The sequence below is a fragment of the Homo sapiens genome, chromosome 8 (genome assembly GCF_000001405.40).
Source record: "Homo sapiens chromosome 8, GRCh38.p14 Primary Assembly".
Classification (NCBI taxonomy): domain Eukaryota; kingdom Metazoa; phylum Chordata; class Mammalia; order Primates; family Hominidae; genus Homo; species Homo sapiens.
Genome location: NC_000008.11, coordinates 13,300,387 through 13,326,401, shown reverse-complemented (window position 1 = coordinate 13,326,401; position 26,015 = coordinate 13,300,387). Strand labels below are relative to the sequence as shown.

Sequence of the window (26,015 nt, the reverse complement as noted above, 5' to 3'; positions counted from 1 at the left end):
TTTGGTCAGCCTTTGGATGTTCTACTATAACATGTCCCCAACTCTTAAGTAGAGGTCAGCTGAGGTATATAGGTCTATGCTATAAATGCAACCCTTCCATAAGTAAAAAGCTAGATCCTCTTATGGCCAAATGTTTCTCTCTTGAATATTTAGTGAAATTTGCATGTGGATTAGTTTTCTGTCTCTTAGATCTCATTTTTCATAATTTTTAATATCCTCATCATTGCCTTGCAGTATAGTCATGCATCACTTGACAGCGGGGATGCTGTCTGAGAATTGCATCATTAGGCAATGCACATCCTTGTGCAGACATCATAGAGTGAACTTACACAAACCTATATGGTATTTATTTATTTATTTTTTTTATAAGAAAAACCAAATAGCGCAGCACCATTACTGAATGTCAATCATTTCCTCTACTATGCAATGCCAATATCAAGTGTCATACATCCGGTTTCTATATATGCTCCATTATAATCATATGGGACCAACATCATGTATAGAAAATCATCGTTACAGTGCATGACTGTACTAAGTCTTTATTACATATTGGATGACTGATTAAAAGCTATTTTCTTACTTTAATTGGAAATAAACATAAAGCGCTACATGTTTTAACCTGTGATGCAAGAAGACAATCTTTTCTTTTAATGCCCATTTTTCCCAGAGAATATTCTCTCCTGAACTTAATCAGTGATAATGCCGAACGTTCTTTATTCTGTAAGTTCCTAAATCGTTATAGCATTTTCCACATGTTTTCAGAGGTTGGTCTTTACATGAAAGACCCATGGTTGACTGAGACTTGTTCTTGGACAGCATGCTTTGTTTATGTCTCTGCCTTAGGATCAGGCTTCAGAAACTACCCACTCATCAACCAGCTTTTATATTTTACACCAGCATACATGACTCTGTGAGATTTTCTGTGTGTGTGTGTGTGTGTGTGTGTGTGTGTATACAGAACTATTGTCCCAGAACATGTTTACCTGTTTGGAAAGTGTTGTAGTGTTGTGCAATTTAGTAGGAATATGGGAAGCAAGAAAAAAATTTCTTGTACGTATCACATTATCCCTTTTTGCCGTCCGTGAAATAATCGAACAGTTTCCTCAAGGGACTGGCTCTGTTCTGAAAACCAAAAGCCCATTAGTCTCACTCCTACTTCCTTTCCAGGCCTCCAGAGCTCTGAATAAACCATACTAGCAAACAGCCTACACTGACCAACTTCTGAGATTTCTCTTTTCCTCTTTTTGTTTTTACCTAGTTGTTTTATAAATTGCCAAAAGTTACAGAAGGCTAAAAAGAAACCTCTCTGTTGTGAGCTTTACCTCCAGTACCTTTGTTATATCTGTTTTCTATGTGATGCATTTCAGAAAGTGTGTAATTTTAAGAAACTTGGGACGTATTTTAGCATTCAGTGTTTTAAAACACAAACAAACTAACCATTTGGATTATTTTATGATACATGATTTTTGCACAGTATCACCAAAGTGTTGTCAAAAGTCTATTTAATCTCCAATAGTCACCCTAGAAATACAGACAGACACACACACACACACGAAACACCTTCAAGATTCAAAGGAAAATACAATTGCATTTTGGTTGGCTTAAATCCAAAATTTTCAAGTTTAGTAAAGACTCTGCAACTGCTTGGTATGCAACAAGACTCTAATCTTAAAAAGTAACTTAAATTTTATATTTCATAAGTAAAAGTACATGGTTTATATTGAATTTGGAAGCTGAGCTTATGAAGGTTAGCACAAAGAAGAAAAAGTAAAATAAAACTATATCATGTTGATAAAGTTAGATCTTAAAATCTTTTTTTTTTTTTTTTTGAGACGGAGTCTAGCTCTTTTGCCCAGGCTGGATGGAGTGTGCAGTGGCGCGATCTGGGCTCACTGCAAGCTCCACTCCCAGGTTCACGCCATTCTCCTGCCTCAGCCTCCCGAGTAGCTGGGACTACAGGCGCCCGCCACCACGCCCAGCTAAGTTTTTGTATTTTTAGTAGAGACAGGGTTTCACCGTATTAACCAGGATGGTCTCGATCTCCTGACCTCGTGATCCATCCGCCTCGGCCTCCCAAAGTGCTGGGATTAGAGGCGTGAGCCACCACGCCTGGCCGATTTTAAAGAATTACACTAGAGACATGTCTACTACATATGCCTCAATAATATAAACTACTAAAAACCTTGAGTTTGCTTTTTAATGGTATTTCTGGAAATTCTTCTGTTAGCACATTTGAAAAAAATCTGCAGCAACAACAACAAAAAAATTAAAAACACCTTCAGATCTCTTTCTGATGCAAGACTCAAAAAAAATCAGTCGGATTTGTCAGACACTGTATTAACTATTCTTAAGTAACAGATCTGTCCCCAACAGGCTCAGTGGCACCTCCTGGAAGGCTGTAATTCAGCCAGGGCATTAAGGACATGGGGACACATTAACTGTCTCACGTAATTCGTAAACCACTTTGCTGAATTGATTTACACTAACTCCTTGCTGGAGCATCTTTCCAAATTCTCACTCTTTAAAATGCTTTTATTTTAGAATCAGAAAAATATTTATTTTCAAAAGAAATAATACCACCAGTTAACAAAATGCCTCCTTTATGTCTCATAGGACTGCTGTGAGGATTAAATATGTAAATATTCCAAACAATAAGGTATTCATTTTGCTGCATTCCCTTATCTCTATGTATATATAAAAAGGGCACGAATACCATATGCCTGACTATGCATGCTCACCTTAATATTTATTGTAAAATCTAAGTTCCTTAATGTTAGAAATCAATTTTTATTATTCTGTATATAGTTCCTACTTTCACTTAAAATATACAAGAGAGCTCAACAAATATAAATTAATAAAGGATGACCATCAACCCAAGCAAAATACTTAACTGCAAAGAATGATGCAAGAAAATAATAATAAAGAATAGAGGCCCACTTTCTGCCTATTTCCATTTTGTCTACTATGAAAGAAACTGTAATGTAACTGTAGCAGGAGAAATTTTTAATTTTTATATTGTCTTTGAACACAAAACCATCTTCTAAAGGAGCTTTAAGAAAACCTAATTCCCTAGGGAATAAGATGCACTTTTAGTTGAGTCATAGTTTTACAGATGTATATAAAATATAGTCATAAGTTCCTCATTTAAATATATAGGCAAATGCATTTGTTATTTTTTGCTGCATAGCAAATTTCCCCATAATTTAGCAACTTGAAACCATCATGAACGTATATAATCTCACACAGTTGCCGTGTGCCAGAAATTCAGGAACAGAGCTTAGTTGAGTGGATCTAGCTGAGCCTATGTCATAGGGTTTTCCACAGACTTGACTAGGCCTGGAGTGTCTGTCTTCAGTATGGCTCACTCACCTGGTTGTTGGAGGCCTTGCTTCCTTGCCATGTGACCCACAGGGAGCTGCTTGAGTATCCTCATGACATGGCTGCTAGCTTTCCCCAGCACAAACCTTCCAAAAGACAGTGCAAGAGGGAATCTGCAGTGCCTTATGGAATAGAGTCAGAAGTCGCATACCATCACTTCTGCCAGTCTATTAAAGAAGGGAACTAGGCTTCACTTTTTAAAAGGGGGAGTGTTAAAGAATTTGTGGACACATTTAAAACTCATCATAGCAAGCTCTATGAGAATTGCCATCCCCATGCAGTAAAGAAATATTACTTCTTAGAACTGATTCTAGTTTGACTCAGCTTTTTACTGACACACTTTTCCAAAAGAAACATAGCATATTTCAGCACAGATTAAAAATTATTTAAAATTTGGAACTTTAAAGATAAGCTAAAACTTTATAACTAAGAAAACTGTGATCTAAAGTGTTTAACCTTCTTAAGGTTATAGGACTAGATCTGAGGTCTCTAGATACCCAGTTTAAATCCTCAGCTGAGTTGAATTATGTTATAATGTCAGATGTATATGAAATCCAAGGTTATAAGTAAAATTCAATGTAATAATTTGTGTCCAACAAAATAAAAAAGGGTTTATGGGGGTACAAACAAATATAAATACTATCATACTTGCCCCTAACATACTTGTACTTTAAATAGAGTTAGAAGCTTTCAAACAAGTAACTAAAACAATTAAGATGATATTATTTGTTTATTTTAGCAACTGATATATTGTTCTTTCAAAGCTAAAATGATCAAAGGTATTCAACAGCAGTGGGTACTCATCAAAATAACCAGTAGATAATATTATAAATGTTTTAAGAAATTAACACATTTAATAAAAGCAATTTTGAAGTATTTTCTATTCTAAATTTTTCTTGTTATGAAGGAAAATTTATTACAGTTCTTAAAAGTACATGTAAAACACCAATGTAAATAATGCATTTGAAGAGAAATATTTTTCAGGTCTACTTCAATAAATCTTTAATTTTCTATTATTTAGGGTTCTCCAAATAGAGGATCTATGAAAATGCAGCATTTGTTAATGGAATTTTTACCCAGATACTAAAAAAAATATTTGCAGGAATTAAAAATAGACAACACAGAATGTAGCACATTTACTGAATTCCAATAACAGACACGTAGAAAATAGGTCAGCTCTCTCATCTGGCCTATGTCAATTTGGTGTGAATTATTATCAAGACAGCCTGCAAATAACAGCCAATTTTACAAGTATATTTGGATCTCATTTTACAAAATGATAGAAAATTGAGAAAACCAGTTTTCCTTAGAACTGGATGAATTATCCTCCTGATTCAAGGTATGTATGATGGTGACTTCCTGCAGAAAAGAATGCTGCTAACTGGAAAGAGGACAAGGCTTCATTACATTGGGGACATTCTCTTTACCACTAAAATGCTCTAAACTGTTTAGGTTTCTTTTTTTTTTTTTTTTTTTTTTTCTTTTTTGAGACTGAGTCTCTCTCTGTCGCTAGGCTGGAGTGCAGTGGTGCGATCTCAGCTCACTGCAACTTCTGCCTCCTGGGTTCAAGCGATTCTCCTGCCTCAGCCTCCCAAGTAGCTGAGACTACAGGCACGCACCACCACACATGGCTAATTTTTGCATTTTTAGTAGAGATGGGGTTTCACCATGTTGACCAGGATGGTCTCCATCTCCTGACCTTGTGACCTGCCCACTACAGCCTTGCAAAGTGCTGAGATTACAGGCATGAGCCATTGCGCCGGGCCAGTATTTCATTTTTGAATCACTTAATACTCTCCAGTTTTTCTATAGACTACTTCCCTGTTTAGCACATAGGTGAATAGACGTAAGTATTTTTTTAAAAGTTCTTTCCTGGTAGTAGATTTTGTATTTTAAGTAATTGGGATCGGCTTAGTCCATTTGTGTCGCTATAAAGAATACCTGAGGGCGAGTAATTTATACAGAAAATTGGTTTATTTGGCTCATGGTTCTGCGGGCTGTACAAGAAGCATGGTGCTGGCATCTGCATCTGGTAAGGGCCTCAGGCTCTTCCACTGGTGGCAGAAGGGAAGGGGAGCTGGTGTGTGCAGCAATCACATGGCTTGAGAGGAAGCAAAAGACAGCTGGGGAGAAAGGTTCCAGGCTCTTTTTCAAAAATTGATTAATTTGTTTGTAGAGATGGTGTCTGTCTCTGTTACTCAGGCTGGTCTAGAACTCTTGGCCTCAAGCAATCCTCCTGCCTTGGACTCCTGAAGTTCTGGAATTATAGGCCTGTGTCACCATGACCAGCCTAAGTTCTTTTCAACAACCCGTTCTCACAGGAACTAATAGAACCAGACCTCACCCCACCCACCCCCAAGGAGAGCCTTAATCTATTCATGAGAGATCACCCCATGACCCAAACACCTCCCATGAGACCCCACCTCCAACATCGGGGATCAAATTTCCACATGAGATTTGGAGGGGACAACATCCAAACCATAGCAGGAGTATAGCAGTTGTGTGGCTTTGAGACCCTGCTCTATTATAATCCTTGAAAAAGAAAAAAAGACATTGTTTTCATGTTTTTATTTTTAAATATGCTACAAACGCTTTCTTTTGTTAATTCCAAAAGATAGATAATTAGATGAAGTGGTACCCAGTACAAAGGTTAGAGTTATGCAAAGAGGAGCTGAACTTCTCTTAACGAAGAGTTAACAGGCAAGTTTTTAACCCATTTCATAGAGAGCAGAAATCATAAGACCAAATATCCCAAATGGATATTAGCAAGAAATTTAAGATAATAAAGCAGCATTTTATTCTAGTGTTCATATTTGAAATTAGAATTCATTTGACATAGTGCCAATTTAATAACTTAGAACCCAAACCAGCCTTTTGTCAGCCCTAATAATAAGGTTATAGAATTAAATAATGGGCCAGGCATGGTGGCCCACACCTATAATCCCAGCACTTTGGGAGGCCAAGGCGGGCGGATCAAGAGGTCAGGAGGCTGGCCAGCATGGTGAAACCCCATTTCTATTAAAAATGCAAAAAATTAGCTGGGCGTGGTGGCGTGCACCTGTAACCCCAGCTACTTGGGAGGCTGAGACAGGACATTTGCTTGAATCTGGGAGGTGGAGGGTGCAGTGAACCAAGATTACACCAGTGCACTGCAGCCTGGGCGAAAGAGCGAGACTCCATCTCAAAAAAAAAAAAAAAAAAAGAGAGAGAGAGAATTAAACAATGGTTGGAGAAGGATACTGAAAAAAGTTGGTGTATTAATCCGCTCTTGCACTGTTATAAAGAACTACCCGATACTGGGTAATTTATAAAGAAAAGAGGTTTAATTGGCTGACGATTCCACACACTGAACAGGAAGCATGGCTGGCGAGGTCTCAAGAAACTGACAATCATGTCGGAAGGCAAAGGGGAAACAGGCGCATCCTACATGGCTGGCGCTGGAGGAAGAGGGCGAGGGGAAAGGTGCTACACACTTTTAAACAACCAGATTTTGTAAGAACTCACTCACTATCAGGAGAACAGCAAGGGGGAAATCCACCCCCCCCCCCCGCCCCGCCAGCAGGCCCCTCCTCCAGCACTGGGGATTACAATTCGAGATGAAATTTGGGTGGGGACACACATCCAAACCATATCACTTGGGTGGGAAGAAACAGATGATAATGGAAAAGTTGTGGAGAGAATGATGTTTGCAAGCGTTCTTTGCCAGTGGAGGGCGGGGCAGGGAACGGAGGCGAAAATGGGATCTTAATTATAATGCAAAATTTCTGTTTAAGACCAGGTGTCTTTTACATGCTTACAATAAGTTACTTTCACTTTTCTGAGTATTTTTTATTTTGTTGATGTGCTTCTAATCAGAAACAGTTTTATAAACTACACAGCTACTGAACCAATTACGTTTGAGTCTGATGAAAGGTATCCCCATTATAGGTATAAATAGACCCGTTAGCATCACTGCTGATTGATGAAGAATTCCAGGTCTGCAAAAGCCAGCTCTATTTTAAGTGCTCCTTGTCAGCACCCAGCTTTGGAGTTAACCTCACTCAATTGTGTTTCTTTGCAGGAGAGAGATTACATGAGGCTAAACCACAGAGCATTCAATCTGTCTGGTGAAAGTGTATAAACACTTTCTAGTGTGGTCATAAAAACTATGATTTCTCCCTTTACTCTGTTAAGTGCACTCTTAGCTAGCAAAGGTATTCAGAAAGAAGAGAGGGAAGGTTCAGCCGGCCAAGGACTGACATGTAGAAAGGGAAAATGTGTCCATGGCTTACCTTTGTGTTAATGTTTCCTGCTCCCTTAAGATTAATCATTAGGCATCTCAAGGATGATCAGTGTTCAATTACTTCTTTAAGCCCATGTTCCAACTAGGTGTTTTGTTTGTTTGTTACTAGCAATTAAAATCCATACCAATATCTTTAGTTTCTAACTTCCTTTTTTCCTGCTGTTATCTATGGTAAAGGATATGTGCAGAAAAGAGAAAATTTGAGTCCTAAAGAGGCTGGATAGAAGAGAAGGGGAGAACATGAACTTAACTAAGTTAAAACCCTAGGTTCAAAACTTGACATGGACACTTACTAATGGTGAGATCTTGGTCAATTAAATGACCTTGTCTCTATTTGACTTCATTTCCTCATACATAGAATAATATAGTAACACTATCCCTTTGGTAGTTATTAAGATTATATTAGTTGGCCAAGCACAATGGCTCATGCCAGTAATCCCAGAACTTTGGGAAGCCAAGGCAAGAGGATCACTTGAGGCCAGCAGTTTCAGACCAGCCTGGAAAATATAGCAAGACTCCTTCTCTGAAAAAAAAAAAAAAAAAATTTTAATTAGCTGAGTGTAGTGGTGCATGCTAGTCCTAGCTACTCAGGAGACTGAGGCAAGAGGATCACTTGGGCTCAGGAGGTTGAGGTTACAGTGAGCTATGATCATACCACTGCACTCCATCCTGGGTAACACAAAAAGACCCTGTCTCTAAAAATAAATAAACCTAATTTAATTTAAAAAGGTTATTAATAAGTTAATAAGTGCCAAGTACTTAGAAAACTGCCTGGCATAGAACAAGTACAGAGTTACAGTGACCACTAAGTAAGTGTTGCCTATTCCCCCATGTCACAGAAGCAACTTACCATCACTTTTCCTAGTTATTCACAAAATACTGGCCACTTTGAGGACTATAACTGGACTCTTGACTACAACTTATTTCTCTGACTTTGCTTTCTCAATCCTCTTTCCACTCTTCTCAACTTCTGCCTGCCCTTGAAAATGCAATCCTCTTAAGGGTCCTAATTTGAACTTCTCCCTTTCCTTCTATACTTTCTCCCTGTTTATCACCTCCCAGTGCCTTTAATTCAGGCCCTCCCTACCCCTCATTCCCCTCACCACACACCAGACACAGCCCAATACAGATGCGATCTTTATGCCTCAGTGATATTGGTCAAAAAAATACTGACCATAGCCATTTCGTCTCTATCTTTTCTCCTAGAATTCGAATTTATTTCCTTCTCTCTTCATCTCCTATCTTCTACCCAGCTTTTGATAAATAATTTTGAAGATATGTTTTGTAAAATGTTTAGTTAGCAAAGCAATCTCATCTAACTTCTAAAGTTATATGTAAATTTCAGTTAACCATGCTATGTCTATAAAGTCTATGCTTTTATGTTGAATGTTCAAATTATTTAATGGGTTTTCTAGAAAAAATTAGTATTGAAGCAATTCAGTCTGGACACTAACGTTTTCATACTTCCTAGTTAATTATCCTCCCATCTATGTTTACAAACAAAAATGTGGCTTATTGCTAATGTTACTACTTAACCTTCCTTATACTTGATTTGAATCTTTTCAGCATTAGTCTACATTGAAAATATGTCAGTGCTACAAACTGCATCTCACAGAAAGCTCAGAATTCATTGACCCATTCTGAAATATAGTTTTCTGGAACCAAGGTAGACTTTAATCGTACATAAATGATTTGTAAGACTTTCTTCACTTATTACAGTCCATGTCTCACATAACTCTCCACATAGGAAGAGACTGGGGAGAGAAAGGAAATTTCAATGCTCATTCATAGAAGAAAAAAAAAGGAATAGATTCAATTAAGAATCCAATAGAAAATACAAGAAACCCTTAACATAAGATTATTTGAGAAGGGATTAGTTATACAGGGACTATTTGCAAAGTTGTATGATAGGAGAAACACAAGGGATACTGCAGTCAGTTGGGGGTTAGTAGTGGCTGAGCTGATCACCCAAGGCCCAAATGACCAGAGAAGGAAGCAAGTAAAGAACCCAGAGAGGAGAAAATCTGCAAACTCAGCTGCCCTAAGAAAACCAATGACCTTAGGTGCAAAAGTCACAACCAGTTCCAAGCAATCGTGCCGAGTGGGATCCAGAGGATTAGATAATCCAACCTCACTCTCCTCCCCTTCTGTCTCCTTCTACGGCTTGCCATGGGCCCAACCTACCTGGAAGCCAAGAGGAATAAGGACCCTGTTGATGGAATCCATATAAAGCGTTCTCATATAAATTATCATCCAGACTGGGACACTTTTGAGGGTTAAGAAAGTTGTTAAAGTTAATTACCATTATTGCAAAAAAAAAGAAACATGCTACTCAACAATTATCTAACTATATAATTGTAGCTTTATACAATACAATTGTATTGTATAAAACTCACCTATGACTCTGTATATACTAGGACAAAACTGCTGTACCTGTTTGTCCTGCATATCTCACATCCACCTAACCCACATTGCCCTTCCACCTTGTCAGACTCTGTGAGTCCTACAGGCTGCTGCAGGCACCAGACCACACTAGCTAGTAGATCAAGTGGCTGGTAGGGAGGCATCGTTGGACACTTCCATCACCAGCAGAAATCAGAAAGGGTTAGCTGTCCCTAACCACTTGTGTCTGAGTGTACTTTGTTAAGCCAGTGCGCAACCTGCGTGCTGTTCTTGAAAGGGAGGTGTTGGTTAGATTACATCCGAAAGGGGTCAGGGAAGGAGAGGCTGTTTATCACTTAGTAGTCTTTCAGATTTAACCCTATATTAAAGCAAGAACTTCGTTCTCTGCACATGCATCTCATATAATACTAGACAATACTATAGAAGCTGGAAATACAAACCCACTCTGAATAATTTTAATGTAACTATTAATAACTTTGTCACCAAAAATGAACATTTTGAGGCAAATGTTAAACTGATCAAGAGATCTGTGAAATCAAGATTATCCCAGGCAAACCTGAGCATATGACTCCCTGTCTCCATCCAGGTCACCATTCCTGCACAGAGGATGGGATAGAAAGGAAAGCTGGGTGAGGGGGATGGGCAGCAAATGGAAATTAACAAACAAAATACGGGGACTTAGGTCATCAATGGAATAGAAGAAATTGAGTTGGGCTCCTGTGATTTAAGGAGAGAGGTCACAGAATAGTTACCATGTTATCAAACGCAGGCAATTGAAAGGCCCCAACATCAAGTTCATCTCTAAATTAACCTGTCTTTCTGACACCACAGAGCAGACTCCTCTTACATTTTATAGATAGATTCAGACATGTACCTCAGAGGTGCCAACAAGGACATCTCTTCTGCCCAAGCATTTGTCCTCAAAGAGCAGAATGTTTATAGACATCTCAATGTTAACACAATTTACCACTTTGAAAGCACCAAATGTTTGGCTATTATTTGATTATCATCCTGATTCCAAAAACCTCTTGTGAAATTTTTGATCAGTTTCTTTTTATTATTAACATGTATGTATATATGTATGTATGTGGAGACAGGGTCTCACCATCTTGTTCATGCTGGTCTCGAACGCCTGGGCTCAAGGGATCCTTCTGCCTCAGCCTCCCAAAGCGCTGGGATTCCAAGCATGAGCTACTGCACCAGGCCATTCATCAGGTTCTGTTAGTCTTCAGTGTCATAAACTTCTTCCTTAGTTCCCAATCACTTACAGTAGATTTCTGCACACCCTCAGGCCTGAAGTGATGAGTTTCATTAGAGTTGCAGAACATTAGAATACCTTTACTTTCAGCCAAAATAAAACCTATATTTTACTGATCCTGGTATCATGGTGTACATTTTAGGTTAGACCACGCATAATATATATCAAATTTGTGGGTGGTTACCACTACAATGAATATCTCCCTGTAATAAAAGTGTTTCTGGGCTCCAGCCAAGAGCCCACTTTATGAAGTCACATTTGATAAGGATAAATTCCAGTTCAGTGAACAAGATTACGGTTTGTCATAAAGAGATTTATGTATATCATTTAAGTAGTTTTAATCTGTATTCTTTTTGTGGTTCTGATCTAATGGTTTATGTTTTGAGCTTCTACCAGAAGCCTGGATCTACCAAAAGTTTTTAAGTTGGATGTTATGAAATGGTGAGAATATCAGCAAATGTTTGGTAATACAGATGAACATGCAGGCATTGAATTATTAAAATGAAACTAAGCTTATATTTGAATATAATTGGTAGTAATTAACCTGACCAAGATGGATATGAGTAAATGCTTTATCTCTCAGCTTTCTAAGAGACTAAGTGAAAATACACAAAACAAATAGATTGACAATATATGTTGTTTTGTTTCTTAGCTAGATATTATATGCTATTCTGTTAAACTGTAAACCAATATGTTACCTCTATTTTTATCCAAGTCTATTGAACAATATTACATGTATATTACACATATATTTATAATATATATGTATATTATATATATACATATTATATTCTGATTAAATGTGAATATACATATATAATATGTATACACATGTATATTATAAATATATGTGTAATATATGTATGTCTATATATTATATGTATAATTATATGAATATATTTCAATAATTTATGAAATTTCAGTAAGTGATAAATCTTGTGAAGAGTTCTGATTAAATGCAAATGGTGGTCCCAGGGATCTCCTACAATTCAGAAGTCACCCAAAGGTCACATGAGTGCAGAATATAAATGTTCTACATTTTCTGGTACAGGGATCACTTCCACTTATGCCCTCAGGTCCTGCTGCTCCAAGACGTACAGAAATGGGAGTCTGCTCCTCTGTTTGGAGACCCAAGTAGAATATCATCACTGGCTTACCTAAAAGGACAAAGAATAGGCCCACCTAGTAATAGCTAGTTTGGGGTGACAAACCTCAAATTAAAGGTGAGGAAGAAGGATTATATCCTCCACACTGAGCTTTATAAAACTTAGGGAAAATAAGAAAAAAAACAAAAATGTTTTTCAAAATCTCACAGAAAATAATTTAAAATTGTTCAAAATAAATAAAGGAGAAATAAACATGTGGAAACAAGTTAATTGGACTGGAGGAAGAGGAGGACTCAGAGACAGACAACCTATATTTGTTTTGCATTATTTCCGAATAAATACATACAGTAGTTGCTTTTTAATCTCATATTAACAAATACCACAGTAGGAATAGTTCACAATCATGGAGCTGTGTGATAATCCCTTCCCATGCAGCAATTTCCTTTGACCCTCACAAATAGCCCCAGGATGTAGATACTATATCTACCCCTATCTCACTGAGCTCAGAGAGTTCTAGAAAAGTGCCAAAAATCATCATGCCAATTAGTGGCAGTAAGAAACCTTGTACGTGTTCATATTCACCTCTAATTTTTTGTTTCAGTCTTCAGCGTGGATTCACAATTAGATTACTTCTTTTCACAGCATGCCTTCAATTTCTTTTCTGCAATTACTGCACTTAGCAAAAGACTGTGTAGGTAGTGAGTACTTGGCTTGAGTCTTGATTAACTAGACCTAGGCACACGAGGATGAGGTTCATCCTCGTGTTCAGAGCACATTAGTACAGAATGAGCATACTAGGAAGAAGAAAGAGAATCACTAAAGCATTTTAAGGAAAACAGTGCTGTAAGTAAAAATCTTCAGCAGGGACGTTGCCTTAGTAATGCCCAGGAAATCCTGTGAGAAGGAGCATTTCACACCAGCAAAAAGCTACTATTCAGACTTCATGGACAAAATGAATCATTATGAGGAGTGTAACATCGAAGGGGAGATAAATTGCTAGTTGACATCATCCAACAAAAAGAAGGATAAACAGCCATTTTGAGTCAATTGGTCTCTGAATAAGTTAATTATCTTGAGTATCATCCTCACTGGAAATCAGCCTACATGTCTACATTACTCCTTAATTGTGAACTTTCATAGATCAGACTTAAAAAACAAAAACTGTTATGAATAGTCAGTATTTCTAAGTGGCTACCACAGGCAAATCATCATACAGAACAATAAAATAATAATTCTGAAGAATTTGCAAATTTAAGGAGATATATATAATATAGACACAATGAATATATTAATATGCAGTACTTAAATATATTCATTAATTTTAATAGGCATTTTTTCTATTAGCAATGTTCAATTGGAATAAACTTTAATAGTAACATAGAGAAAGACATGATTTATTAAATTCTGAAAAGGATTTATAAGATGAAAATATATCTGAAGGATATGTCATGACTAAGTCATCAATTGTAAATTTCTTAGAGATACAGAATATTATCATTAAAAATTCAATAAAGACAGAGAAGAGTTAAGTTAATGTGGCCCAGTCATGGGGCTCTTTCTGTTTATCTAGCTTGCTAAAGAAATTATTTTTTTTTTTTTTTTTTTTTTTTTTTTGAGACGGAGTCTCGCTCTGTCGCCCAGGCTGGAGTGCAGTGGCGCGATCTCGGCTCACTGCAAGCTCCGCCTCCCGGGTTCACGCCATTCTCCTGCCTCAGCCTCCCGAGTAGCTGGGACTACAGGCGCCCGCTACCACGCCCGGCTAATTTTTTGTATTTTTAGTAGAGACGGGGTTTCACCGTGTTAGCCAGGATGGTCTCGATCTCCTGACCTCGTGATCCGCCCGCCTCGGCCTCCCAAAGTGCTGGGATTACAGGCGTGAGCCACCGCGCCCGGCCTAAAGAAATTATTTTTAAAAAAACTTAGAATAATGATTAGAATTTATTTTAGACCATATTTCCAAATGAAAGTGGCCTCAACCAGAGCTTTGTCAAACTGAAATTCAACATTTAGGTATCTCAAGACAGCATGGAGTAAAATATTCTGCAGGATTTGTTGAAGACAGAGTCACCAGCTTTAAATACATTAAATGTCAGTGTTTTGAGGAGGAAAAGAAAAAATTTTCAAGGTCAGAATCCCAACTTTCATTCTTACTTAGGGGAGGGTCATCTCATTTCTGCTAAAGATAAACTACAGACATACCTGTGAGCAGCACCAAAATATCTCTTAAGAATTAACTTTGCCTTTGTTCAAATGTTCAAACAATTTAAGCTGAGACCCCAAATTTCTGCACCATATAGTATAAATAAAGCTATAATTTCAGTCTACAAAAACTGAAAGACAGTTGTTAAAGTCAGTGATTTAAGGGGGGGAATAAATCTCAATATTGCTGATAACTTTTATTAAATAAGATGTGTCCTTTTTTGGAGATAAGGATACACAGCATCAATGACGTTTCTCAGATAATTGTGTGTGCATTTATTAATATTTCACTTTAGTTATAGATATTTGTTCCTTGAAGGCAATCCTTACACCAGCACATCATCTCTTTTTTTCTGAAACTGAATTTCCATTGTCTTCTCTGATCTGGTTGAGAAACTAAGTTAAGTTGGAATCGTGAACACTAGGAGGGATGAAGCCATGATGACCTTTGGCTTCATCAGTCTTATGAAGAATGGTATAGTACACAGGGTTATAAAGCCACATTCTGGTCTAGTTTCCATCTGGCCACAAAAAGCCCTGTAGTAATGGGCAAGTCACTTAACCTGTCTGGGTCTCAACGTCCTCATAGGCAAAATGACAGAGAAAGAGCTAAATGAGTATTTTGCAAAATATACTACATACAGTACTAATGGTATATCAGCTGATACTGGGGCAAACATTCTGAATTTTTATAATTATGTATCCTAGTGTGTATTATGAGTAATACAACCCACAAATCAAACCCATAAATGTATGCATGTCTATTATTTAGAACAAGTAAAAAACAGAAAATGTATTTAAATTTGATTTTATTAAATTATTAAGTAAATAATTTATAGATGATACATGGATATAGTAAAAATTCTGAAGGTGGTATTTGAAGAACTGAAGATTGGGAAACACAAATGAATGATCTCTAAATCCCTCTCCATCAAGAAGAGACTATATTTTTAATGAAAGAATGATGACTGTCAAAGCTAGAGAATTACTTTGTAAACCAAAATAGATGATATCAGATTGCCAATCAGACACAGCTTTTCAATAAAATCCTTTGTTCAAATGAAAGCAGACTGAAATCATTGACTGGCTAACAATATTGCAGAATGGCGTGATTTCAAAAGACTCTTTAAATGAAGAAGAGATGAAAACAAACTCATTTTCCCATGTACCTTCTTTCCTTTCATGCTGTCTTTCATGTCTTCCCAAAAAATGTGAATCCCAAAACGCTTCCTGTTGCCCATGTGCCCACAATGGGCTCTTGTGCTCTCATCTGAGACAGAGGCTGTTCCATCACTGAAGGATATTTTCTTGCAATTTCTAAGGACAGAATTACTTATTTTGGAATTTATCTGCAATTTTTTTTTGTGGAACAAATTTTTGTGGGAAGAAAAGTGAATGTTTTAAAGGGAAAGGAGTAAATTACTCTGTCACTGATTTTTCTCTGAATTAAGCCACTTTTTAAAAGGCAAATAAAGAAAATTTCTATACACTTAAACAGTACTCCAAACACTTCTGTGTGAACATCTTGAATATTTGAAATCATGTAAAAGAAAGCTCTGACTATAAAAAGAGAAAGCACAAAATAGATAGTGCTCTGTTTGTGTACTGCAGGACAAAAAAATAAATTTGCTTCATGGAACATAGGAGAACTTACATAGTATCATAGCTGCCAGTTGTTTGAAGAGATTGGCCTATAAGGTCCTTCTTAATGTTAGTATTCTATGTTCCTGATTCTAAAGAACTAAGAGGAAAATATTTCATACAAGTGAGGAAAATGGCATAATAAAAATAACACATTAAAGAAAATTAATAGAAATATTTCATTTCATTTCTAAAATAGAAAAACATATTCCTAAAATCAGAGAAAGTAGAAAAAAAGCATATTCCTAAGTCATCAGGAAGAAATTGGTTCAATTAGAATGTTTCAATTGACAAGACATTCAGATTGTCAATTGTCATGGATTCAGATATGATGTCTATTATTTATGATGCTATTTACGTTAGCAGCTTCTGTGCGGTTGGTGTGAGTTCCTAAAAGGTGTCCATCTGAGGTTCTCCTGGAAGTGCAGAAAGCCATTTCTGCAGCAGACCAAAAGAATCAACATATGTTTAGAACATTTCCATGTGGCATGTCAAAATCAGCATTTCCCCAACCATCTTTCACATCCAAAAACACAAACAGGCATGCACACAGTCTAAGCTCCCACATATAGCTTTAAAAGCTCTCATTAGAAGAAAGCAAATTGTTTACTTCTCTTTTGCTAAAAAAGCTTTCTTAAATAGCTTTTTAAAAATTCGATTGTATTAATAAAACACCTTAATTGGCCAACTTCAATGAAAATCTTTACATGTGGAGAACTATTAAAGGGTCTCAACATAGAGGGTTGGAGTGGTTGGGAGCCATAGAAAAGGTTCCTATCTTATTATTTAAATATCCTAGAGAAGAAAAACAAAAGACTATGGATGATTTTTCTCCCCTTTCATTTGGAAGTCATTTGTAGACTTTCCTTTGTTCCATTGAGAAATAAGAGAAAAAAATATATAAGTTACAGCGAACCCATATGGCCAGCAGGAAAATCCTATTTAATTGCTTTATTGCAAGAAATGTTAAATCACTTCCTGAGGATGCAGTTCAAATGAAACATATGGCAACTATTAGCAAAAGCCCCTAATGGATTCAAAAATATGCCTTTTATTGGAGCTTTCTCATAAGCATCAATTATACATGTTATTTAAATTGTATATTCAAATAGGCATTCGGTGTTTTAGTTCCAAAAATGTTGATGAACACCTACTCTGTACCATACTATACAGTCAGCTTGTGTGAAATGTTATTTCTGAGCCCAGAAATAGATATGACATGATGGGACCTCAGGACATGGACCCAAATCTATCCAGGTCCCTTCTCAGAAACCAAGGATGAGAAGAATCCCCCAATCAATGCCTCCTGCCCAAGGGTTTCACGCCCAAGAAAACCATTCCATTTCTACTTGGATAGTTCTAATGATCTATATTCTTCGCACTCTTTTTAATGACACACCAGTGATGTGACTAATCATTCGTGTTCAGCATCCATTCTTTGCCTTTTTTGGAACTTCTTTGATTACATTGTGAATTCCACAAAGAAGAAAACTTTGCTAAGAGTTTTTTTATCTAGGATAATGTGAGGCATGTAATTAAGAATTAACAATCCGCTTTAACTAACGGTAGAGCAAGTGTCAGCATTTTTCAATTGTTTCTAATGCCATTCATCTCTGGAAAATTTCAGAAATTTAACAATGTAATATATTTATTCATAAACAACTTTCTAGAGAGACAGTTCTCCCTCAAATTCAAAGATAAATCATTGGAGGAATATCCACCTGTTATCACTATGTGGTTTTACTCTTAAAAAGAAGTTATAAAATTCTAGGAATACTACACTTTGACTATCCTTTCTCTACATTGTAATATGGTCTTTGAAGTTATGTAATGGAAGTGAGTTTTGGTAGCTTAAAAGTCATGCAGAGTGTGGTGACATTCTAACGTAATTGGCATTGGCTACATGAAATATGGACATTGGCCATAAGGAGGCTAAAATGTATTTTTGCTTGATACCCCAACTCACTGATTATCATTTTTATTAAATATTTAATTACACATGCATGGTTATATACTTTTGAAATCAAATAAAATATAGAAAAGGCTTGTTTTTGTCACTGGTCAACTTGTGATTTGGGGCAAAGCTTTCAACTTGACTTAAATGTGTTTGCCATGAAAAGAGAGGGCTTCTTTAGACAATGCCTAAATGTCTCATACAAAATATTCCTATAGAGGTATTTTGTGTTCTAAGTAAATGTCTTATCATAAGACCAATCCAAACTTTTTTCCTCCTTCATTTCAAAATAAGTCTGTTTAGTGTGGCTCACAGGCCAGCATGCCTGTATTGTGCCTTGCTTCCGTTAGTGACAGCATGACCTCACAAAAGTTACTTTACCTTCCAGGATTTTACAGGGTGTTCTAAAGATGTGGTGAATTTCTGCAGTCAAAAGCTTAAAACTGGGTCATACACAAACTAAGCACCCAGTAAGCACTAGCTATTTTTATCCTGAGGAACTTTCTCCAGGAACATTCTTTAATTACCTGTCACCAACTTTTCCAGTCTTGTTGAAAAAAGAAAGGTTTCTGTTTTATTTTTCTGTTCGTTCACTTTTCACAAAAGAGCGAATGTATTTTAAAACCCCCAATCAGGGGTAAATTTAGGGGCTAGACTTAACATTTAATACATAGTTTGGATTTAATTCTATTTTTAAATATGTTTTAAGGGACACATAGAAAGTAAACAAACATTACCAAAACTGTAGGATCACTTGTAAAAGAAGGAAATTGCTTTCCTCTAGTATTGAATCAGAGAAGTTCTTGAAGAAGAAGAAAAGTCAGATGACTTCTTAACAAATGAAAGAATGCCCAGGAAATGCTGGCAGCCTATGCCATTTGTTGGAAGCCCTGATCTCTGGGCCTGATCCCCCAAGCTGCCATTTAATCTATACGTCTGCATCTTTGGAAGCATGCGGAGAAACGGTTCACACCCAGAGAACAGTGCTGAACAACGAAATGTAGATTGAGATTGAGTCAAAATATGCTTTCAGTACAAATTAATCTTGCCAAAGTAACTCCCCCCATCTCTACCTTTTTTTTTTTTTTTTTTTTTTTTTGACAGAGTCTCTCTCTGTCACCCTGGATGGAGTGCAATGGTGTGGTCTCGGCTCACTGCAACTTCTATCTCCCGGGTTCAAGAGGTTCTCCTGCCTCAGCCTCCTGAGTAGCTGGGATTACGGGCACCTGCCACTATGCCCGGCTAATTTTTGTATTTTTAGTAGAGGCGGGGTTTCACCATGCTAGTCAGGCTGGTCTCGATCTCCTGACCTCAGGTGATCCACCCGCCTCGGCCTCCCAAAGTGCTGGGATTACAGGGGTGAGCCACGGTGCCCAGCCTCTACTTTTTATCCATAAGGAAATCTTTACCTTAGCTGAATTATTGCATCAATCACAAAATCCCCTAAATCCCAAAGGTGAAGATCTCAGCAGTAACCAATATTTCACAAGGATATAGACGTCTTGATATTTGCTATTTCTCGAAATGAAGATTGATGCTCTTTTCTTGGGCTGATCCACAACAGAGCTGCACTTGGGCCTCTCTCTCTCTCTCTCTCACACACACACACACACACACACACAAACACACACACACACAAATACCCATTTGAGTGTGCTTTTCTTACTTCAACTCTGAGGATGTTGTCCCTGAAGAAATGAAGAAATATCACCTTTGGATCTATCCTGTGGTCAGTGATTATGGGGTGGAAGGCATCAAATCCCAATGGGTCAGTTAATACATCCTCAACTATATTTTATACGTGAGTAACTGAGATGAATGAGAACCAGAAAGTCAACTTGCTTCATTTGTTTAGTGGTATCCACAAACAGTAGAACTAGACAGTTAAGCTTTAAGTTCTTGGAAAGATCTCATTCTGAACCCTATTTTTAAAAATCATAACAGTGATAAATGCTGGGGATTGAGCTTCTAAATCTTTCACATCAGTCAACTAACCCACTGGACCAAGGCCCATTTTAATAAATAGTAAGAGTGGCTTTTCCCTGAAGATCTGGTACGCTTTATAGAGGCTGCTTCCTTTAGTTCTTTCAGCAATCCTCTGAAGTAGATGTGATTATCTAGATGCGATTAATAAAGAAGGAACCTGAGCCTTGAGAGGTAAGATACCTCACTTGTGTGCACAGAAAAAATAAGCAACAGGGAAGAGATTTGAAATGCCCAGAAACTAACGAATTTGCTTCTCTCTCCCAAAAATAGGACCAGAAAATGTTAACTACAAAAATTCTACCCCAATTCAAAGTGTTTTTAGATTCATTTATTGCCAATGTTGTTAGTTTGTTTGTTTGCGATGGGGTCTGACTGTGTTGCCCAGGCTGGAGTCTGTAGCACGATCATAGCTCACTGCAGCTTTGATCTCCCTGGGCTCAGGTGATTCTCCTACCTCAGCCTTCCAAGTAGCTGGGACTACCGGTGCATGCCACCATGCCCAGCCAATTTTTGTATTTTTTGTAGAGATGGGGTTTCACCATGTTGTCCTGGCTGGTCTCAAACTCCTGGGCTCAACGATCCGCCTGTCTCTGCCTCCCAAAGTTCTGGGATTACAGGTGTGAACCACCACACCCAGCCTATTGCCAGTGTTAAAGATAATATGGATGTGCATTCATTTGAGTCTGTCTTCAGAAAAGAAAAGAATTAGAAGATGATTTACAGTTATCAAAGACAGCTCTAGTGATTTTACTGATAGTTCCAAAATGCTAATTTTTCTATTGGCATTCTCTATTTAATTTTTGCGTCATTAATTACACTTCGTTTTATTTCTAATGATGCTTTCTGATGTTTCTTCCTAATAATACCACAATTTTTGTGTCTTTTTTTTCAGGCTATTCAAGGTATTTCAGAGAAGGAAAAGGCTGGTAAGTTGACATTTTGGTTCTGTTTTCTCGCCAATCTATTTTAGAATAAATTTCACCTTAAAATAGGCATTTTATTAAATATATAAAATGTATACATCTCATGAATATATGGGAAAATGTTGTTTAAATTCTGTAAAAGAAATTTGTTTTGCTCAATATGTAAGAAAAATATACGTGGTTTTCTGACATAATGACATTGTGTTAGAATAAGATATGTGTTTCTTGGGGTCTTCCTTGTAACTGCAACCACAATTTTTTTTTCTTAAGCAAAAGAATTAAATGTTGATCAAGGTTCTGGGGAATGAATTTGGAAATTAGTTATTAATAATTACCAAGGTTTATTTTTACTCTTAATGACTTAGTAGCCACAGAAAAAGATGTAATTGATGCTTAAAGCTGATGCCATACTATCAAAAATATAGTGATGAAGCAATGTGAATAATTGTATTGAAGAAAAAAATTATAGTATTTTTCTGTGTTCTGTGCTTTAATTATAATTATTTAACAGTATTATGGGAAATGGACAAGGACTGATGAGAAATGAAAATATGAAAAATTAGACATGGATTGGTAGATCTATGTGTTTTTAAAAAATCATACTATCTTATGTGTTCTGTGTAATAAAAACGAAAACAGATTAAAGGTATATTATCTAACTTGAAGTACATCACTTAGTTTGTAGACATTTGTGATTTTTAAGAGCTATATTAAAAGTTTATAGTCTCACCTTAGAGAAAATATTAAAATTTCAAGTGCCTTTACACTAAAGCAGTAGAGTTTGTCTGGCGGGGGTGTTTGCTGTCTATGTCAGTGACCTTATTTTTGCTGCTAGATAGTTTTTACACAGAATTTTCCTAGTTTGTGTCCTTCTGTGAGCTAAACTTTTCTCTCATGTTTAGGCTGTATCTCGTTTCTTCACTTTAATAATGTTGAAAAGTATCTCTTCAGAATAGAAGGAAAATATTGAACTGGCATCATATGTCAGCTCAAGAGAAAAATCACACAACATAACAATGTACTAATATCATAAGCATTAATATCAGGTTGGTGCAAAAGTAATTGTGGTTTTGGCCATTACTTTCAATGGCCAAACTGCAATTATTTTTGCATCAATATATTTACCATATATTGAATGGATTTAAAGTTTTAAATCTCCAGTATCTTACATAGCTGTCCCCATAATTCACTGCAATTTAAACAAAGTATATAACAGAACAAAGTTGTCATCCTATTCCAGAATGTCAGCAAGTTTTTTCACACCCCAAGAAGAAAATGAGGATGTGAGTTGTTGGCTGGTCAGGAGGGGAAAGAAGGAATGGAAATGCCATGGCTGGCGGAGACAGGAAGGCAGAGAGTTCTCTTTCTCCTCTTCCAGTTAAATGGCTTAAGTTTGGCAGGGAGAAACACTTCATTCTGTCAAGCTTCTCAAATATTTTGAAAATATTTTTATTTTTAATATTTTTTTTTGAGATGGAGTCTCACTCTGTTGCCCAGGCTGGAGCACAGTGGTGTGATCTTGGCTCACTGCAACCTCCACCTCCCAGATTCAAGCCATTCTCCTGCCTCAGCCTCCTGAGTAGCTGGGATTACATGCCTGCGCCACCACACCAGGCTAACTTTCGTATTTTTAGTAGAGATGGGGTTTCGCCATGTTGGCCAGGCTAGTCTCAAACTCCTGAGCTCAGGTGATCCGCCCGCCTCGGCCTCCCAAAGTGCTGGGATTACAGGTGTGAGCACCTGGCATGAAAATATTTTTAAAACAAAGAACTAATTAGAGAACATAAATATAATGTAACCACTACCTTTTTGTCATAATCCTGGAAATTTTCCTCCTTAAGAACAACAATTTTTTTAATGAAATCAACTGTCCCTCCTTACATAATCTTTCTGAGTCATTTCTATATGGCTGAGGCACACATAAAAGAATCGAGAGATTAAATTTTCAGAGGTTCCATAAGATGACATATGTGATCTCCACAGGCCCCAGGATGCCCCATCTCAGATACCTAGCAACTCAGGATGGACTGATTTGAGCAAAATCTGACTTCTGCTCTTTATGAAAATATTAGAATGATTGGAATTTACTCCAGAATGAATTTCTATTTAGATTTCTGGAGGATATGCTGATATATTTAGGAGAAAATGTAATTTCATTTGATCATTTAAGAAATAAAGGATTTTTTTTCAAGGCAGTGAATTTACCTGTCAAGACAAATGTTCGTGTCTGAATATTTTATGAATCACGGTAACAAATATGACAATTCAAAAGAGAATGTGATTTATTTCAAAAGTTTTAAGTACCATAACAGTCTAAGCAATCTAATTCTTGTATTTCTAAACTTTATTATTTGAAACATTAAAAATATTTTGAGTGTTCTATATACAAATATAAATCTTGTTTCTTTCATGTCTTTATGAATCTCTGTAAGCTTCCGCTAGACAGAGGAATGGCCATGAAGGCAGGAGACCCACTCAATCTTCTCGGGGTTAATTGAGCTCTTAAATAGGATTAAGCTTCATACCCGCCCCTAAGGCCTGTCATTTTTTTTTTTTTTTTGTATCTTTCTAAATCAATGTAGCCTATTGTTCTTTATTAAGAAAGTCTATTTTTAATCTGTGTGACCTCTCATCCAAGCTAACTGGAACCAACTCTACCAGGCTTTGTGAAGCTCTAAATGAAATCATTTGGGGCACATTCCATTAATCATCCTTCAATTACAGTTGTGTGATTGCTCTGTGTGTGCTGTAAGTAGCTATCTTCTATTCTGATCCACGTTGCTATGATAATACAGCTCAGTGGGATCATTTCTGCTGCTTGTCTCCTGCCCTGTGATGACAGAAATCTTCAAAGGGAGGCAAGTTTGAAACAGCCTTTGAAACAGCCTTTTATGGATTCAGTCATTTCACAAATACTTACTGAACAGCAGCATGTTCTAGGCATTCTATTAGGTTCTACTGAGGAAGCAGTTATGAACAAGGCATGGCCTCTGCCCCATAGGAACTCAAACTCTAGTTGGAGGATATCCCATCAGGCAGGCATCCCTCCTTCTCCTCTTCTCAATTGAGAATTTCTTAACTCTGCTTATTCAAAAAGCTTCCCAGGCAAGGAATCAAATCAAAGTACTGTCTTCAGGAAACTCTGGATGAGAATGTGCCTTCTTAGGATCTGAGACAGAATCCAACCAACTTCTTTTTTAAATAATCAGAACTGATCACACAAGTATCGATATGTATAATTGTATCCAATAAATATCATTTTCATATAACTTCCATCATGTCGCTGGAGTCTGTATGCCTCAACCTTTTTGGCACCAGGAACCAGTTTCATGGAAAACAATTTTTCCACGGAGTTGGGTAGGGGAGGGTTTCAGGATGAAATTGTTCCACCTCAGACCTCAGATCATCATAAGGAGTGCACTGCCTAGAACCCTCACATGTGCAGTTCACAACAGGGTTCATGCTTCTCTGAGAATCTAATGCTGCCGCTGATCTCACAAGAGCCAGAGCTCAGACGGTAATGTTCGCTTGCCCACCGCCCATCTCCTGCTGTGCAGCCTGGTTCCTAACAGATCACAGACCGGTACTGGTCCAGGGCTTGGGGGTTGGGGATCCCTGCTCTAAAGAGTGAACCCGTCCCATTGGAATACCCTCAAGCACATCTGCTTCCTATCTGTATGGCCTTGAGCAAGTCACTTAACTTCCTCATCTCCCTCATTTCCAGAACACAAATCAAGAATCTGCCATGTTGTTGATGTAAGGCAACAATGCTTGGTACAAACTAAGTCCCAAAAAATGGTAGCTGTCTTTTATGATAATTGGTTGGTGCTTACAGGACAAATGGACACTCGCTGCATCACTGATGTCCTTGTGTGTTCCACAAGTCCTAAAATGCTTCCTCGTGGTACTAACAGCTGAACAGCTGTCCATGTGGAAGAAGAAAGATCACTTTCTCCATGATTCTTCTCAATGAATTAATTCAAAGATTGTCACAATATAGACAGAGGTGATCACATTTTAACCTCCCTTTAGAGATTTTTTTTTTTTTGTCTATTAGACTGAAATTCTCTCTTGGAAACAGGTAACATTTGATTTTCAAAAAAATATTAGTTTCAGAGAAATGTTTATGCTGTGTCCCATTTTCCCGTGATTCCATTATCCTCCTGTATCCACAGTCCCTGAGGTCATCAGATCCTATCTACCAAGCAAGCCAGCTAGGCGCCTGGGTTCTCCTGCCGCTCCCAGGCTCCTCCACCTTCTACACACCGTGCTGTCAGCACCGCCCTCTCATCACCCTTGTCCATTCCTCTGGCCACTGCTTCCATGCAGGCCTTCACTTTCCACTGGACTTTCACAAAAGCATCCAGAACTGGTTTCCCTGACTTAACCAATCATTACACCAGTCTATTATCTGCACTGTCACCAGAGTTATCTTTGAAAATATATAACCTGATCATGTCAGTTCCTGTGCCAACATTTTATCTGACTCTCTATTAGCCACAGAGTAAAATTAAACTGTCCTGGCTGGCCATTTGTCCATTCAGGAGTGACCTGTCCATACATGGCCATTTGTTATTCAGACGCAGTATCATTCACTGGACCGGATACATGTCTGTGTTGCCCCTCAGATCCACCCTCTGCCCTACTTCTCCCTGCCTCTGTGCCCTGGGAGGCCGACCAATGTGAACTAAATCAAAGGACTTCCCTCCTTTCTGTCTTCCTCATTCAGCCACGAAGAGGACGAGAAGCTCTAGCAGGAGACTGGGGGAGGGGGATGGTGGGACAATGAGGTTGGAGAGTTTGTTTTTAAGTTCAATGTAGATTTACTTTATTTTATGATGTTCTGCGATACATGTGCAGGATGTGCAAATTTGTTACGTAGGTA

General features: G+C 37.5%; 1 protein-coding gene across 6 annotated transcripts in view; it reads left to right on the top strand.

Moving 5' to 3' along the window:
- DLC1 (DLC1 Rho GTPase activating protein) overlaps positions 1-26,015 on the top strand; it is a 521,260-nt gene that overhangs the window by 278,219 nt on the left and 217,026 nt on the right. For 5 of the 6 annotated variants that reach the window (NM_001348082.2, NM_001348081.2, NM_001413124.1 and 2 more), the window contains exon 5: positions 21,100-21,133. Coding sequence is in view for 5 of the 6 variants with exons in the window: in NM_001348081.2 (NP_001335010.1) it covers positions 21,100-21,133 (34 nt within the window). In the remaining variant the exon portion in view is untranslated. Of the gene's footprint in view, positions 1-21,099; positions 21,801-26,015 lie in introns of those variants that run through there. The other variant, NM_024767.5, reaches the window with a different exon arrangement.